Genomic DNA, 18,633 nt, shown 5'->3' on the forward strand with positions numbered 1-18,633 from the left:
GCCACCACACTCAGCAAATTTTTGTATTTTTAGTAGAGACGGGGTTTCACCATGTCGGCCAGGATGGTCTCGATCTCTTGACCTTGTGATCCACCTGCCTTGGCCTCCCTAAGTGCTGGGATTACAGGTGTGAACCACCGCGCCTGGCCTAAAAAATTTTTTTAAATATTTTCATAGCTTAAAAAAATATGTTCCCTCTTCTTCCTCTTCCCCTTCTCTCTACTGTTTCCCCTTTTCTTCTCTTTGTGGGCAATTCAATCCAAGGCCATTAAAAAAACTGGCCAGGTGGGCTTCCACGGCAGGGTAGAAAGACAGAGTTGGAGGAGGATATCCATGTGGGGCGAGGGTGGTATGGAATTTCAGAGCCCAAATGGAATGAAGAGGAAGTCAGTGCAGGAGAGTGGCCTCCTCCTGCAGTACCAAAGCCCAAGGAGGGTACCCATGTGGAAGAAGGAGCTGCAGTAGTGATGAGATTGATTACACAGAGTGGGATTAATCAAATAAGTTAACACTTTACATTAAAGATAATGGGAACCAGGTGTCTGTCAGAGAAGGGGCAGACAAATATGGAAAGGGAGAAAGCAAAAATGAACCCTGTGTTATTAATTTGAAATTAGAGATTCTGGTGTGAATTCATGGTTGTCAACATACAGACATGTAGAAATATGGTGTGTGTGTGTGTGTGTGTGTGTGTGTGTGTGTGTGTGTGTGTGTATAATTTATAGCAATGAGCCTATGCAGCATCAAACCTTGGTTTCTAGATACCATTCTCCACTAAAAGGACTTTTCCTCAGAACTTTCCTTGATGAAATGGATGATTCAAGGCTGGGGCAGGGAAAACGCAAAACAAAACCGGAACGCCTGGTGTTAGAAAGTTAGAAACTGCTCAGAATTATGGGGATATGTCAAAAGGACACAGAAGTCAACTTGAATAAGGCTCTCACTAGCCAAATCTGGGGCAACTTGAGCATCAAAATAATGACAGTAATGAATTATAACCCATTGAATGAAACAGAAATCTGTGGGTCCATATTGACTTAAATAAGTCAATGAATTCACTGAAAGTTTGATGAGTAATGGGAATATTTATGAAGAGGCTAAGTTGACCCTAAAAAGACTCCTTTTGGCCAGGTGGGGTTGCTCACGTCTGTAATCCCAGCACTTTGGGGGGCTGAGGTGGGCAGATTGCCTGAGGTCAGGAGTTTGAGACCAGCCTGGCCAACATGGTGAAACCCTGTCTCTACTAAAAACACAAAAATTCACTGGGCATGGTGGTGGGTGCCTGTAATCCAAGCTACTTGGGGGGCTGAGGCAGAAGAATTACTTGAGCCCAGGAGGTGGAGGTTGCAGTGAGCCGAGATCACACCACTGCACTCCAGCCTGGGTGACAGAGTGAGACTGTCTCAAAACAAAAAACAAACAAAAAAATCCAACTCCTTATAGTGGAAGGTTATTGAGTTATGCTTAATAATTGGAAAATTTACGACTTTTCCCTGCCATCAGCAGGAATGGGAGCATCAAGACAAGTTACAGAAAATAAAGAGTGCTGTATGTTTTATACATTTGGGTATAGTGTGCAAAATTTAGATTCTGCTACATGGAGCAACAATTTGATCAAAGACTTTCATGTTCCTTCACCTCCATGAGGTTCTAACAACCCCAGCCAATCCAATCAATTTCCAGGCTAAAAAGCCTAAAGGCAGATATACCTTCAATTGTCTATCACAATACAAACAGCTATCAGCTACCATGTATTGAGTACTCACTCTGCGAATGAACAGGATAATACATTATGTTACTCAATAAACACAATTTTAGCAGATGGGGACTATTAGTCTACATTTTTTGGGGGGAAAAAGGCCCAGTCAAGTTAAGGTACTTGATCAAAGTAGCAGAGTCCTCATTAAAATCTATTTAGCTATAGCACCTGGACTATGAGTCACCACACCATATTGTCCAGTCGTGTCACATTGAAACTCAGGTTTCATCTACTCAAGCTTTCATAAATCTTGAGAGGAGGAGAAGGGACATGGTTAAGACAACCCACCAGAGACCAACTAAGCCAAGGGAGTTGGAGGTGACATCTTTCATAAGCATAAAGGCACGGACAGATACATTCTTGTTCAAATTCTGTCACTCCTATAATCTGCCCTTCTCAGAAGCAACCAGCAATGGGACTAGTGGTATATTTTGGGACTACTGTCAACAAAAGGAGTCATACTCTGTAAAATATTTTAAGAGATTTATTCTGAGCCGAATGTGAGTGACCAATGGCCCATGATACTGCCCTCAGGAGGTCTTGAAAACATGTGCCCAAGGTGGCTGAGCTACAACTTGGTTTTATACATTTCAGGGAGAGATAAGATGTCAATCAACACATGTAAGATGTACATTGGTTCGTCTGCAAAGGTGGGACAACTAGAAGTGGGGGGATTAGGGGGTGAGAGGACTTCCAGGTCATAGGCAGATTCAAAGATTTTCTGACTGGCAATTGATTATTATCTAAAGACCTGCAATCAATAGAAAGGAATGTCTGGATTATGATAAGGGTTGTGGAGACTAAGGTTTTATCATGTAGATGAAGCTTCCAGGTAGCAGGCTTCAGAGAGAATAGATTGTAAATGTTTCTTTTTTTTCCTTTTCTTTTTTTTTTTGAGACAGTCTCGCACTGTCACCCAGGCTGGAGTGCAGTGGCACGATCTGGGCTCACTGCAACCTCCACCTTCTGGATTCAAGCGATTCTCCTGCCTCAGCCTCCTAAGTAGCTAGGACTACAGGTGCCTGCCACCATGCCCTGCTGATTTTTCTATTTTTAGTAGAGAGGAGTTTCACCATGTTGGCCAGGCTGGTCTCGAACTCCTGATCTCATGATCCGCCTACCTTGGCCTTCTAAAATGCTGGGATTACAGGCATGAGCCACTGCTACTGGCCTGTAAATGTTTCTTATCAGACTTAGAGAGTCTGTTCTGTCAGTCTTAAGGTCTCTGTGTTGATGTTAATGCTGGTCAGCTGTGACGCACGTCTGGCCATCCACTTCCCATCATGGCCTGAACTAGTTTTTCAGGTTAACTTTGGAATGGCCTTGGCCAAGAGGAGGGGTCTGTTCATATGGTTAGGGGGCTTAGAATTTTATTTTTGGTTTACATTCTCCCTCTTCTAGCTAAGATTTTCCAGAGGCAACATCAATGGCCACCAAACTTTTATTTTGTCCCACAACAATTGCTGAGGTGGCATGGCTGGCTGCCCTGGCTTTTCCTGTCCCTTGGTGGGACCCCTATGGTCAAGGGACTTAAGAGTCAAAAGACTTACAGCCAATTTAAATGTTCTAGGCCAGATGGGAATGAATGTGAACAGGCATTCACTAACCCTTAAAATTTTTAAGGTAATATAAAAGCCAACAAATGAAAAGCCAGAGGCGAGGTTACAAAATTGACTTATCTACCTTTAACCTCTATGTATTGAGCTACTGTGATCTTGGTTTTAGTTACAGATGAATTGCAATGAATTATACAAAACAATCATTATTAAAACCTTTTAAGCTAAGAAATTTGGAGACTTTTGTTGTGCTGCCATGCTTTTTGTGGTCTTTTAGTGATTTGTCCTAAGGTGGCCGATAAATTTTTTTAAAAAAATATATCTATTGACATAAGTCTCATAACTGGGAGTATTATACTGAAGAGGCTTTGTCATGAAGTATTTTTATATTCTCTCAGTAATTTTATTTTAATTCTATGGGAAGCAGGAAATTCTTTATGGCTGGGATGGATAAAAAAGGTGCCACACATGTAATAACCCAGGAGGCAAAGTCTCTTATTTTACCAACTATTTAGGTGTCTGTGTACTCTTCCTTAATTGGGAGGATCTGAAATAATGCTTTCCCTCAAAACTGGGCCTTACAATCTAATGTGCCCACCTCTTCCACGATAGTCCCTGGGCCTAGAGGGAGGGTGCTTATATAGTTTTAGCAGCAGGGTATTTACAGTGAAAAACAGATTGGGCCCAGGGGGATTCCAAATGAGGGAGATTCGCAGGATTTGTCAAATCATCTCAGTTTTCAGAGTATCATGATTCCAGTTTTCCCAGAAGAAGTAAAACTATAAGAGATAACATTAATAATTTGACAATAAAAAAAATAATGTGTGTGTCAGAATAGAAAAAGGAACATATTCCATCAGGGCACCAACTAAAACATGAAGCAAATTATAACCTGGTACTCTTTAGAGGATTTTTGAAGCCCAGAAATAATTCATGAGTCAATCTGCACTCAAAAACAAAAGTCAGGGCTGGAATCTAGTAACAGATGTTATAGTTTTCCCTTGAAACAATTTCTTTCTTTCTCTAGCCCTCCTTTTCTGCTAAAGAGAAACTATAGTAAGACCAATTTGTGTGCAAAATAAGTTTCAGGCTTATTATATTTGGCCTGATTATTCACATAAAGTCCAGCAAGAATTGACTGGTCATAGAGGCTCTTTTCAAGTTGGCTTTCTGGAACTTTACCTAAAAATGTGTTATTCTAGTAAAAGCCTTGGTAAAATAACCAGTGTCTCCAATTGTCCTGTTTTAAAATATAAAGCTTTTTACTGAATTTTTGCAAATAACTATATTGTCATAAAGTCAAAATACTCATGAACAGTTTCTGGATTTTGGAGAACTCAGAAAGGAAAATATGCTCTCAAAAACATACTTTACCCGATTGCTCTAAACTATAAATAACTCAAAAGATATCCTTGACTCTTATCTAATCAGAGCAGCAGTCTTCCAAACAAGATGTCATTTGTTCATTTTGGAAGTGCCACTGACAACCGAAGCAGCTCTTGTCAGATGAGAGACGTTCATCAGGCACGGCACAATCTAGTAGCTCCTCACCTAGTGAGTCAGTCCTAAGGGAAAAAGAGGCTCCCTGTTCCTAAGTATCTCCTCCGTGCATCCCCAGGTAGCAAGAACCTATATAAATAATTTTTATTTTATCATGGAACTCTTTTGGGCACCATTATTTCAATTAGCATAGGGATAGTTTCAGCTAACATCCCATAGCAAGGCAGCACATGTCTCTCAAGTGGGAACTCTCTAGTCCAAAGTCCCAGTAGTTGTCATTGGGAAATGCTTACCGGCTTTTGCCATAAGCCTCAATAAACATGCCACAAAGAGCTATCAAGTGGAAGATTTGCCCTGACCAGCACTCCAACTTCTACCCTGTATTCTGGGAATCTTACTAGTTCTCATTTAGCATGTCCAGTTAACATTTCTCAAAGGACAGATTTACATGCCTTCAGTTTTGCAGTACTAGATAGGGGAAACATCCCCTAGTCAGACACAATACCCATTTTCATAAGACACTTAGGTAAAGGACTCAGAACTACCTTACATAAGGTAGTTGTTTAAACATCTCAAATTTCATAATCCTGTCAACCTTTACATTTTTATGTTCTGATCCCAGGAACTTCTCTACCCCCTAGACCATTTTGCCTTTTCTGGTGAAAAAGAATTTGGGTTCCCAACAGCGAGCTGGGCCAAGGGACTCAGCCTCTTTTATCAATCTTTATCTTAATTTGCCTCAACATTGCCCTAGGCAATGTCAGCTTTCTTATTTTAACCTTTGCCTTTTAATTTTCCTTAGATTTCTCCTAAGGAAATGTATGAAATGTAGGACACTAGTATGGGGCCTTTTAATGTTGCGGGGCCAGCAGGGGCTCCCTTTGGTCCACCCAACCAACTTTTGACAGTGTTGTAAAGACCTTTGTTTTAACCTCATCAATTTTCATTTCATTTCATTTCTTAATAACCATCTAAAGATTTCCACCCTTCTGGGATGAGTCCTTTGACTTCCTTTTGCCTTCCCCATTTATTTTTGGTTACATGTCCTAATGTTTTATAAGCATCTGTAAGACCCATGAAGGATAGCAAATTTGATAAGGCTCCTCAAACAGTTGTTCGGTTCTGCAAGAGTAATGTCACCCAGAGTGCCCATGTAGAAGGGATCCTCTTAACCACAGCATTTACCACGATGTGGGTAATAGGCATATTAAGTGGGAGAATATCCTGGTCATCATAAAGCCAGTCTCACATGGCTCACATAAGAAGCATTATCAGCTGTTTTGTCTGGGGTGTCCCACTTAGCATTTAATAGGGAGAGTTGGGCAGTCCCCTTATCAGGGTAATCAGCCTTACAGTGGCTTTTATCTGGTTCACCAGGCTGGATATACCCTCAGGAATAACCTCCTGTGCAACTGGATAACATATACTCATCAGTGAGTGTTTAATAGTGGGCTGTGAGTCCTGTATCAACCCAAACTTGCTCTTTCATTATGTGGCATTTAAAATTAAAGATGCTGTCCTTAAATTAGTTGCTCTTACAAGGTTTTGAGGAAGCTGATGACACCAATTAATAATGGAACAATTCCTTTATGTTATATGCTCTGGTTTTTTTTTTTTTTTTTTTTTTTTTTTTTGAGACGGAGTCTCGCTCTGTCGCCCAGGCTGGAGTGCAGTGGCGTGATCTCGGCTCACTGCAAGCTCCGCCTCCCGGGTTCACGCCATTCTCCTGCCTCAGCCTCCCGAGTAGCTGGGACTACAGGCGCCCGCTACCACGCCCGGCTAATTTTTTGTATTTTTAGTAGAGACGGGGTTTCACCTTGTTAGCCAGGATGGTCTCGATCTCCTGACCTCGTGATCCGCCCGCCTCGGCCTCCCAAAGTGCTGGGATTACAGGCGTGAGCCACCGCGCCCGGCCTGCTCTGGTTTTAATAGTTACTTGGTTTTGCCTTACCCCACATTGACTATCTTCTTGGTAACCACAAGTCATAGAGGCACTTTCTGTTGTCCCTGCATAAGTTTGCCCTTTGGGGGGCAGCTTTGAGGCTGGTGGCATAAGCTCAGACTGACTTAAATCAGACCTTGGTCTAGCAGCAAGGCTCAACCCAGACTTCTCCTTTAATTTCTTTTTCTGTCTTTTTTTTTTTTTTTTTTTTTTTTTTAGACAGAGCTTTGCTCTTGTCTTCCAGGCTGGAGGGCAATGGCACGATCTTGGCTCACTGTAACCTCCGCCTCCCTGGTTCAAGCAATTCTTCTGCCTCAGCCTCCCGAGTAGCTGGGATTACAGGCACCTGCCACCATGCCTGGCTAATTTTTGTATTTTTAGTAGAGACAGGCTTTCGCCATCTTGGCCAGGCTCGTCTCAAACTCCTGACCTCAGGTGATCCACCCGCTTTGGCCTCCCAAATGCTGGGATTACAGGTGTGAGCCACCATGCCTGGCCTTTTAATTTCATTTTAACTATTACAGATAGCAATAACCAAGGGATTGGATATTTTGTTTTTATTCTTATTAGTTTGCATTTCCTTATGCACTCAGTGAAGTAACTTCCTGGGAGTATGAGTATCATCCATCTCTAAATTCCACTGGTAACTTTTACCTTTAGTAACTAAATGCAGCCCAGCTGCAGCTCCATACCATGGGTGACCACGCGACCACCAAGGAGTCAAAGGTTTTTCCTTACCAGCCTTTTATTTTTCTCTCTATCCATTTAGTTTTATTTATATACTTCTTCTTTATTTTAATGTGTCCCCTAAATAGCCTCAAAATTAGAAAAAAAATTACATTTCCTTTTTTTTTTTTTTTTTTTTTTTTTTTTTTTGAGATGGAGTCTCACTCTGTTACATGATCTCGGCTCACTGCAACCTCTGCCTCCTGGGTTCAGGCAATTCTCCTGCCTCAGCCTCCTGAGTAGCTGGGGTTACAGGCACCTGCCACCACACCCAGTTAAAAATTACATTTTCTTTAGCCAACACCACATCCTTGTGTTTTTATAAACTTCCCCAAAAAAGGTTTTGGTGAAGAGTAACACATTTTACTCTCCTATAATTTGAACTCTTAGTAACCCAAATTCCCAGTGAAAAAATAAGGATTGCTTACTTTAACATAACATGGTTTAAAATTTTTAAATTACTGAAGAGAATTTTATGAGTAAATTTACGAAATTAACCTTACCAAATGTTACTAAAGTCATGTGAATTAAAAGGCATCTGAGCTAGTTTCTATTAGTCTGATAAACACTTGGTTTTCTTTAAGTCAATTGATTAGAGCTCTTCCATATAATTTGGTAGTGAAATTTCACTTCCACATTACACATTCAAACATATAGACATAACAGACATATAAACAAAAGCAAATCCTCTATTTTCTTATCTGTCTGTTTTCAAAAATTCTCTCCCTTTACTAAAAAAATTGCAGGAGCCAACAAAAATTGAAGAAGAGATTTACCATACCAGGCTTCTCAAAAGGAAGAAAGACCTGAAGCAGCAGGGTACAGCAGAAGTTGCACTTCTGAGATATCTGAAGAATTTCAAAAAGAAACAGATTATAGAATTTAAAAATTAAAAACTTCTTGCTTTAAAAGTCAATAGTTTTTATAAAAGCTTGTTTAACCAATTATTTCGTTTGTATTAGTGTATTTTTAATATCAAAGTTCAATTCCTAGAAAGATTATTATAATTTCCTTTCAATTACAGCCCACTTAATTATATAACTTTTTAAAAAATAAATTCCTTTTTTACTAACCTCATTACAACTTATACAGACCATTCATGACATGCTTGGACTTTCTGGCTTGTCCTAAATATCCCTATTTCTTAAACAACCAGTCATTTTATTTTAAGATAAAAATTTAACATACAAGATCCTCTCTCATACAAAGTCATTTTTCTTTTAATCTTTCTTACCAAAAATACCTCTTTATATCTGTAACTTTCTTTATGTCTCTTATTTCCTGGTTCCTTTTATCTTGTTTTACATATATCCTTTAACATATAAACTAGACAAAAATTATTTACCTTTTAATAAGAACACATTTTTAGAAGAAATGTTTTCCTAGAATCTTAAATTGAAAATTACCCAGATGTTTAGTGGATATCTATTATTTCATACAACTTTAGATTGGAAATTATATGACATTTGTTTACAAGCATTTATTCCATTACATTTACTTGTTTAATTTATTTTTAATAGTTTACCTAGATTATTTATGAAAACCAATATTCATCATTTAAAGTTATTTCCCTGTTAACCATGTTTATAACCTATGAATTTCAGGTGTTTACCTGAGTAAGAAACTTAAGGCTAACTATATTGGTATTTTACCAATAACTCAGGATTTAGCTGTTTTCATTAAACCAACAATATAAGTATCTTTATAAAAAATTACTGTAATCCCAGCACTTTGGGAGGCCGAGGCAGGCGGATCACGAGGTCAGGAGATTGAGACCATCCTAACTAACACGGTGAAACCCCGTCTCTACCAAAAATACAAAAAATTAGCCGGGCGTGGTGGTGGGCGCCTGTAGTCCCAGCTACTCGGGAGGCTGAGGCAGGAGAATGGCATGAACCTGGGAGGCGGAGCTTGCAGTGAGCTGAGATCATGCCACTGCACTCCAGCCTGGGTGACTGAGACTCCGCCTCAAAAAAATATATATTACATGGCTGGGTGCGGTGGCTCATGCCTATAATCCCAGCACTTTGGGCGGCTGAGGCGAGTGGATCACAAGGTCAGGCATTCGAGACCAGCATGGCCCACATAGTGAAACTCCGTCTCTACTAAAAATACAAAAAATTAGCTGGGCATGGTGACAGGAGCCTGTAATCCCAGCTTCTTGGGAGGCTGAGGCAGGTGAATCGCTTGAACCTGGGAGGTGCAGGTTGCAGTGAGCCGAGATCACACCACTGCACTCCAGCCTGGGTGACAGTGCAAGATTCCATCTCAAAAAATAAAAAAAATTACACAAGCAAAGATCATTCTGTTTTGGGTTGGGTTTATAGTTTTATAAACCTCATGCCATATGTTGACATCTTATAGTATTTGGCAGGGATAAGTATGGAACTGCTTGATCAATAAATATAAAAAATGCTGAAAATTCTTAAGACATTTCTAATATTACTTTACCAATAATTTGAAAGCCAGCTTATTTATTAAATATTTTACTTGTATCACATAAACTTGAAAGACATTTGGGTTTTTCTGTGTGTGTGGTGGCTCGATGTGTGCTGACTGTGAGCAGGACTCTACAGTGTTCCACCACTGAATTGTTTCTGCCCTCTTAGATGTCTGTTTCTCTCTCTGGAATTCTATTACCTCCAAGAGGGCTCAAAATGCCAAGTGATCAGCTCTTATATGTGTTTCCTGGAAGAGCCTTTCTAAACTAATTTTCTTGGGGGTTCCCTGTAGGGCCATTGCACGTCTCAGGAAGTCAACCCCCAGACACTTTTACTTCGTCCCCAGTCACCCAGGAGCACCTTTCAGCTGGGAGGAACAAAATGCCCTTTTTCTTCAGAGCTGAGGACCTCAGTCTCATTTATCTATGAAAATAACAGTTCAGTTCCTCACACAAATGCACAGACAAACCAATTGAGCTTAATTTTGGAAGAAAAAGCAACGGAGAAGACTTCTTAGAATGCACCTCCAAACCGGAAACCAAATGAGGTGCCCAAAAAGGGGTCCTTCTCCTTGTCTTTAGAAAAAGGCAATGGAGAACACCTTTAGAATGCACCTCCGAACTAGACAGGGATCCCAAATAACTTTCTAGGAGGAAAAAAAAAAAAAACTCAAGAATAAATCAAGGACCATCAGCCAAATGGGAGGTCCAGTGCTCAGAAGGACCTAACAATTCCACTGGAGGAAATGCTCAAAGTTGGGGAGAACTATCATTGGGCCCCTGCTGGTACCTTAGCTCCAAGTTCAGCCAATTCCTTCAGGGCTCTGAGTCTTCTCTGAGGCCTGATGTTAGGTGCCAAATTATTGTAAGTGAAAGAGCCAAACTCTGTAAATTATTTGAAGAGATTTATTCTGAGCCAAATGAGTGACCAATGGCCCATGACACAGCCCTCAGGAGATCCTGAGAACATGTGCCCAAAGTGGTTGGGCTACAACTTGGTTTTATACATTTCAGGGAGACATAAGACATCAATCAATACATGTAAGATGTACATTGTTTCAGCCACAAAGGCGGGACAACTGAAAGCAGGTATGGGGGGTGAGAGGACTTCCAGGTCATAGGCAGATTCAAAGATTTTCTGATTGGCAATTGATTATTGTCTAAAGACCTGGTATTGATAGAAAGGAATGTCTGGGTTATGATAAGGAGTTGTGGAGACCAGGTTGTAGTATGTAGATAAAGCCTCTAGGAAGCAGGCTTCAGAGGTAATAGATTGTAAATGTTTCTTATTAAAGAGTCTCTTCTGTCAGTCTGAAAATCTCTGTGTTGATGTTAATGCTGGTCAGGTGTGAGGCATGTCCAACAACCACTTCCCATCCTGGCCTGAACTAGTTTTTCAGGTTAACTTTGGAATGCCCTTGGCTGAGGAGGGGTTTGTTCAGATGGTTAGGGGGCTAAGAATTTTATTTTTGTCTTACACTATTAACTAGCACAGCGACTCTAAAACGTTAATTATTCTCTTGGCAAATAAGTGATTAGGCTCATGTAAGGATGTGCCCTGAAAGCAAGAAAGGAAAGTGGGTCAAGTAGTCACTGATACAAATTTTAATTTGGCAGTTTTAGATCTAGGAAGAGATTAATGTTGGCTCCTTCACACTCTGAGGATTGGTGGCTATTTCCCTTACATTCAATGTGAATATGAAGGACAGATTTCAAATGGTCCCCTAAAACAGTTTCTCCCTCTCTTAGAACTCATTTGCATTTGCAAACTGAAATTAGTGTTTCAAGTTAGAATTCCATCTACCCTGGTTGCAGAAGACTTAAGATGTTTTTATGCCCTCAGCCTTTTCTTCATCTGTAAATGACGGACCACCTCCCTCAGAATGCATACAGCATTACCTAAACCATGGGGTGGGCCATTGTTTCCAAAAGCAGGCCAAGTTGAGAGGCTCTCTTACTGTAATTCACATAAATCCTAGTCAAACCATATTGCATTCTGGGGTCACGTTGAAAATGTCAACTTGGTAAATCTCCCTTCTCATGGTAAATGTACATGTTCTTTCAACCTGGCTATTGCAGATGACAATAAAGACCCTATTGTTCAGCTTTGGGCTGCTCTATTCTATCTTTTTAAAGCTCCACCTTGTCTATCTTCACCAATCCCCATTTAACTTTTTACCATCGATAAGGCATAAATTATGCTGTGTGGGCTCTGCCACCACTTTGGGTGCCTTGCTCCAAGGTGAAATGGAAGCTTATCATTAGTCCTCTCCCTAGTCCTAACATCTATACTGGATGCAGGTAGAAAATAGTAATGATTCCGCTCTCATAATTTATAAGTATCATGCTGACGTCCTTAAAAAAGTAGGTATTCAATTCTTATTAAAATATAACTTCCCTCCTCTCCCTGCTGCAGAAGCTTTCTTCAGCCCACATCCATATCTATCTTTTCTGCACTCATTCAGTCCTCTTTTTTTACTCAATTTGGCCTTTATTTGTATTACCCTTTAACGATCTTTAAATGCTTAATGTGCACATGTCCCTCTTCACATGGCGGCAGGAAGGAGAAGTGCCGAGCAAAGGAGGAAAAGTCCCTTTATAAAACCACCAGATCTCATGAGAACTCACTCACTATCATAAGAACAGTATGGGGGTAACAGCCCCCATGATTCAATTACCTCCCACCAGGTCCCTCCCACAACACATAGAGATTATGGGAACTACAATTCAAGATGAGATTTGGGTGGGGATACAGCCAAACTGTATCAAGGATAGAACCAAGGGTAGAAACCAGACTCAAACTGGGTACTGAAGTTGCTCTACTGGTTACTGTAGAGGTAAGGGCACTTGAGAGAAGAAACTAGCCAACAGTGGTCAAGTATGGTAAGCAATTAGGCAAAAACATAAGAACAAATTGAACATCTTTAAACTCAGGTTGTATTACTGAAACTACTGTGAAGTGCTGCCCATTAGGAGTATAAGAGGCTGCTCACCTTTGGGCCAGTCTTCATATTCATGGTGTCAGGTAGCTCTACCTCATCACAACTCTTTTTTCCCATTCCAACATCTTTCTTTTTCAAGTCAAAATTATTAAGGTATAATTTACACACAGCAAAACTGCTCTATTTAGTGTACAAATCTATGAGTTTTGGCAGATGCATACATTCTGTAACCCACACACATCACAGTCAAGATATCCAACAGTTCCATTACCCCTCCCCAATTCTCTTAAGCTCCACTTTATAGTCAACTCCTCTCACCTCACAGGCAACCACTGATCTCTTTTCTCTTTTTATGGTTTTGCCTTTTCCAGAATGTCATATAAATGGAATACAGTATGAAGACTTTTTAATCTTGCATCTCTCACTTAGAATAATGCACTTGAGATTTATTTGTGTGTAGGAGCAGTTTGTTCCTTTTATATGCTGAGTAGATTCTATTGTATATATGTACCACGGTTTGCTTATCCATTCACAAATTAAAGGGCATTTAGGGTGTTTCTAGTTTTAGATGATTATAAAATATGTTCAGGTTTTTGTGTGAACATGTTTTCATTTCTCTTGGGTAAATATCTAGGAGTAGGATTTCTAGGTCATATCACAAGTGTATGCATAACTTTATAGGAAACTCCCAAACCATTTCCCAAGTGTATGTACCCCTCTGCATTCCCACCAACAACATCTGAGAGTTTTAGTTTCTGTCCATCATCAATAGCTTTTGAAATTATTTTTATTTCAACCAAGTAGTGATCACTGTGGCTTTGATTTGCATTTCCCTAATGACTACTATAGTAAATAGACTACAGCAACAAAAGGAACAAACTACTCCTACACACAACATAAATACATCTCAAATCCATTATTCTAAGTGAAAGATGCAAGACTAAAAATGCTTCATACTGTATTCCATTTATATGACATTCTGGAAAAGGCAAAACCATAAGGAGAGAAAACAGATGAGAGGTTGCCTCGGGGTGGGAGGGGTTGCGCATCTTTTCATATGCTTATTTGCCATCCATGTATCTCCTTTGGTAAAGTGATTGTTCAATTATTCACACATTTTAAAACTGGATTGTCTTCTGAGTTGTAAGATTGTTTCACATATTCAGAATACAGTCACTTAATAGGTATGTTTTGGCTGGGAGCGGTGGCTCACGCTTGTAATCCCAGCACTTTAGGAGGCTGAGGCAGGCGGATCATGAGGTCGGGAGATGGAGACCATCCTGGCTAACATAGTGAAACCCCGTCTCTACTAAAAAACAAACAAACAAACAAACAAACGAAAATTAGCTGGGCATGGTGGCAGGCGCCTGCAGTCCCAGCTATTCGGGAGGCTAAGGTAGGAGAATGGCGTGAATCCAGGAGGCAGAGCTTGCAGTGAGCCGAGATTGTGCACTGCACTTCAGCCTGGGTGACAGTGCGAGACTCCGTCTCAAAGAAAAAAAAAAAAAAGGTATGTTTTGCAAATATTTTCTCCCAGTCTGTTGCTTGTTCTTTTGTTTTCTTAAGTGACATCCAAAGAGCAAGTGTTATCCAAACAGCAAGTTTTTATAAATTTCTTTCTTTCATGGATTGTGTTTTTTGTTGTACCTAAGAAAACTCTGCCTAATTCAAGATCATAAAAATGTTCTCCTATGTTTTCTTCTAAAAGTTTTATATTTTCACATTTAGGTCTATGATCCATTTTGAATTATTTTGCATATGGTGAAAGGCATGAGTTTATAGGTGTTAAGCTTTTGTTTTAAAAATGATGTCCAATTATTCCAACATGTGCTTCTTTTCACTATCTTTTAATAAGGCTCAATTTAGCAGACACTCTATATATGATCCACAAAAAGAAAGGGAACCTTCTAGCTTTGGTGTGACAATCCTATGGCTGGAGATGAAAGGGCAGTTTCCAGTCCTTTGACTGGCAGAAATACCTAATAAGTATGCTTTCTACTCCATAGAAATGCATGATATAGAATAGTCCAGAAAGAACTGTCAATGCTTTCTAGTCAAAGATCACCAGGAACACACCTGTGGTTGAACAAGCCGAATTTACTACTCATTGCAGCAAGGAAGAACACATCACGGGGAACCACGTGGCATACTGGTAAGGTGTTCAAAAAAATCTTTTAGTAAGATTGGGTTTGTGTTAGGTGATCTGATAGAGGGTTTAAGGTGGTGGAACTTTGCTCTATGCTCTAAACAGGATATTGTCAGGAAGTGGGGGTAATTCTATGATTGGGTATCTTAATAAATCTTATCTAGAAAGAGGGAAGACTGGAATGAGGCTTAAGCTGTCATTGGCAAAGAGGCAACAGCTACGTAGACTAGTTTGGTATTTTCATTTTGTGTATTTCATTTGGTGGGTTGGACAGCATTTGTGTTTTTGTCTACATTCACACACGATTATGAAGTAGTCTTATTTTTGTCCTGATCCACCATGATCATGGAGTGGCCTCGTCTGATGTTGATGTTCTCTAAAATTATTTTTGTTCAACAAGAATACCAAAGCCTAGTGTGCCAGCATCTACTGCATGTCAGAAACTGCTTTTCTCTTTCTCGGAATATAGTGATTAAGAACTTGGGCTCTAGAGTCAGACAAAATTGGGTTTGATTCTAAAGCCTGCTCTTCACTAGCCTGTGGGACCCAGGGTAAATTATCCAACTTCTCTATGCCTCGGTTTCCTCATATGAATATAGGATTTCCTATATTAGAATATAATGTGCTTGCTTCATTGGATTGAGAGAAATCAGATGATCGAGGTTAGGAGCTGTGTCAAATAAATCTGCCGTATCATAGGAAAAATTAAGGATATTGGTGCAGGCAAAGGAAAACCAATAGCACAGGTGATTGTGCCAGGAATGGCAAAGAGCAGTGAAGAAAGTGAGGATAGAAAGCATAATGATTTACACTGGGGGGTAACTAACTTTTATAAAGCTGTTAATTTAATGCAAGGATAATGCATTACACTCATGAAAACATGGTGAAACAGGAAAAACGTGCGCACCTTGCAACAAGTAGGCTTCTTACTTAAATGAGTCCATACTGAAACCCTGGGAAGAGTGTTTGATAATGATGAAAACTATGATTGTGCACATAACAGGAGACAGACTCACATGTTGGGTAGAAGGTTGGGCTGGAGCTTTTTAAACTTCAGCGTACTATCAGCCTAGAAATAATTTCTTGCTTTAACATTACTGGTTTCTGCCTTCTTTCTGGTCCTCTTTGAACCACCCCACCATGTTAAGCAATGCCACATCTAATTTCTAAGTTTTTCAATAAGGCAAAAAGACTGTGTGTGTACCCAACTAGAAGAAAACTCAGTCACTTAAGAGGCTGGGTAATTGATATGTGTATTAAGAATTTTGTTAAAAGAATTTTATTGCCTGAAGGCACTAAGAATTCATCATTATTGTTATTTTAAGAGAGAGGGTCTCACTTTGTCACCCAGGCTGGAGAGCAGAGGCACAATCATAGCTCACTGCAGCCTTGAAATCCTGGCTCAAGTGACCTTCCTGCCTCAACTTCCCAAGTAGCTAGGACTACAGGTGCGTGCCACCACACCTGGCTATTTATTTATTTATTTTTTGTAGAAACAGGGTCTCACTATATTGACCCGGCTAGTCTCAAACTCCTGGCTTTAAGCAATCCTCCCACCTTGGCCTCCCAAAATGCTGTGATTACGTGGCCAGGGCTCATTAAGACATGACAAAATCTTTCAAAATAACATCCAGAAATAAATGTTTCATTTTATTTTTCTTGAAACAGGGTCTCACTCTGTTGTCCAGGCTGGAATGCAGTGGTGTGACCACGGCTCAGTGCAGCTTTGACCTCCCAGGCTCTAGCAATCCTCCTGCTTCAGTATCCCAAATAGCTGGGACTACAGGAGGGTGCCACCATGCTCAATTATTATTATTATTTTTTTAAGAGATGGGATCTCCCCATGTTGCCCTTGCTGGTCTTAAACTCCTAGGCTCAAGTGATCTTCCCGACTCAGCCTCCCGAGGTGCTGGGATTAAAGGCGTGAGTCATCTGTATTTTATTTTAACAATCTAAGAAAGGGAGGTCACAGAATGGGAATCAAGAACTTAGAGGAGTTCAGACTATAAAACGAAGAAATACTACAAGTCATGTATTTGTTTGTTTTATAGGCTGAACTCCTACACCAGAAGTTTCTGATGAACTCATGACCTCCCAAAGGAGCTCTTTTAAATCTTAGTTAGTTTATGAAACAGATTCAACTGCTGCTTTGAGTTATGGCTTTTAATAACCGTAAAAATGCAAAATCTCCCAGGAGTGGCTACAATCTTGTCAGTCATTTGTACTTTAATAATAATTAGATTCTCTTGTAAAACGACGTGCAAAGGGAAGAAGAAACAAGACGTAATTGTGCACTTCATAATTTTACCTAGAGTTCAACCTTGAAAGGTCACATATTAAGGATAGAAGTTTGTGTAATAACGAGAAAACAGAGGATATCCGTTTCTTCACATACTGGATAAACAACAATCCACGGATCCTGCTAATCATCCAACCCATATGTTGAATTGACAAGAGTATTTAATTTCCTCTTTCTGCTTTGAGAAACTAAATATCTTGACAGTCTGAGCACAGTGGCTTAAGTGGCCTTAATTCTCTGATTTCATAAGTTAATGATTAGGTTGAAGCTATAAACTATAGTCCATTCCATTTAAGACCTGGATCAAAGTTAGCTTCATCCAGCATGTTTTAGCACGTCCTTTCTGAGCTATGTTGTCAGTAGTTACCATTCAGTTCCACCATCCTGAATATTCTGCAGTTGATAAACCATTTTGTGAATTTTTTTTTTTTGCTTTCTGTGTATGTTTTTGACTCGCGTGTTTTTGCTTCGCTAATCAGATTGCGAAAGGAAACATCTCACGTTTGCATAGGACTTCACAGTTCATAAAGACCTTTCCCACCCACCACAAAAAAAGTATGACAAGTTTCCCGTCATCTTCATTTTATAGGTGTGGAAAGGGAGTCAAAGAAAAGTTAATCGATACCATTTATCTAGTTAAGCAGGCTTTGAGCAGTTCATCTCCTCCCGTCCTCAAAACGACCTTCTGAGGTGTCTCCTGCAACCCTGCTCTGAAGCTCAGAGCGAGACGGCCTCACATCCCAGGGGGCTCAGCTCTGGCGGGGCCGCCACGCGCCTCCCCGTGCCTTTGGACGGGTGAGGAGAGCTGCTGCCCCGGCGGGGACCACGTGGAGGGGCCTGGTCAGCAAGTGGCAAGGACGCGGCGCAAAGCCAGGCTTTCTAATGTACAATCCGCGGCTCTTTCGATACTGAACACCCACCTCTTCAACAAATTCGAGCGCCTGGCAGGCCCTGCACCAAGCCTAGGGTGATGGCGACCCAGGCGGGTTTTTACTCTCAAGGAGCTCAATTCTAGGGCAGGGAGAAGTAAAATTAAAAAAAAAAAAATCATAACAAACTGAAAAACACATAAATAAGCCACGTCTCTCCTCACCCCTAGCACTTAATCACAAAGGCCTGTAGAGAGTCCCGACGAGAACTTCTGAGCAGGCCCCGCTGTCAGTCCCTGAGGACAGCATGCAAGGGAGGTTGACGTCCCTGGACGAAGAAAGTGCTGGAGAAACTGGCGACCGTCCCACCTTCCCTAAGGCGAAGGCTCTGAATTCCGAAGACCGTTACTCGGCGCGGAACGCGGGCACCGCCGACGTCAAAACACCGGGCCTG

The 18,633-nt window shown here is 40.6% G+C and overlaps 1 long non-coding RNA gene across 1 annotated transcript; it reads right to left on the reverse strand.

The window, feature by feature from the left end:
• Nucleotides 1-16,640: 16,640 nt before the first annotated feature.
• TMEM263-DT (TMEM263 divergent transcript) lies at nucleotides 16,641-18,623 on the reverse strand. The gene has a single exon (NR_185933.1). It is a non-coding gene; the product is annotated as a TMEM263 divergent transcript (long non-coding RNA).

The sequence above is a fragment of the Homo sapiens genome, chromosome 12 (genome assembly GCF_000001405.40).
Source record: "Homo sapiens chromosome 12, GRCh38.p14 Primary Assembly".
Classification (NCBI taxonomy): Eukaryota; Metazoa; Chordata; class Mammalia; order Primates; family Hominidae; genus Homo; species Homo sapiens.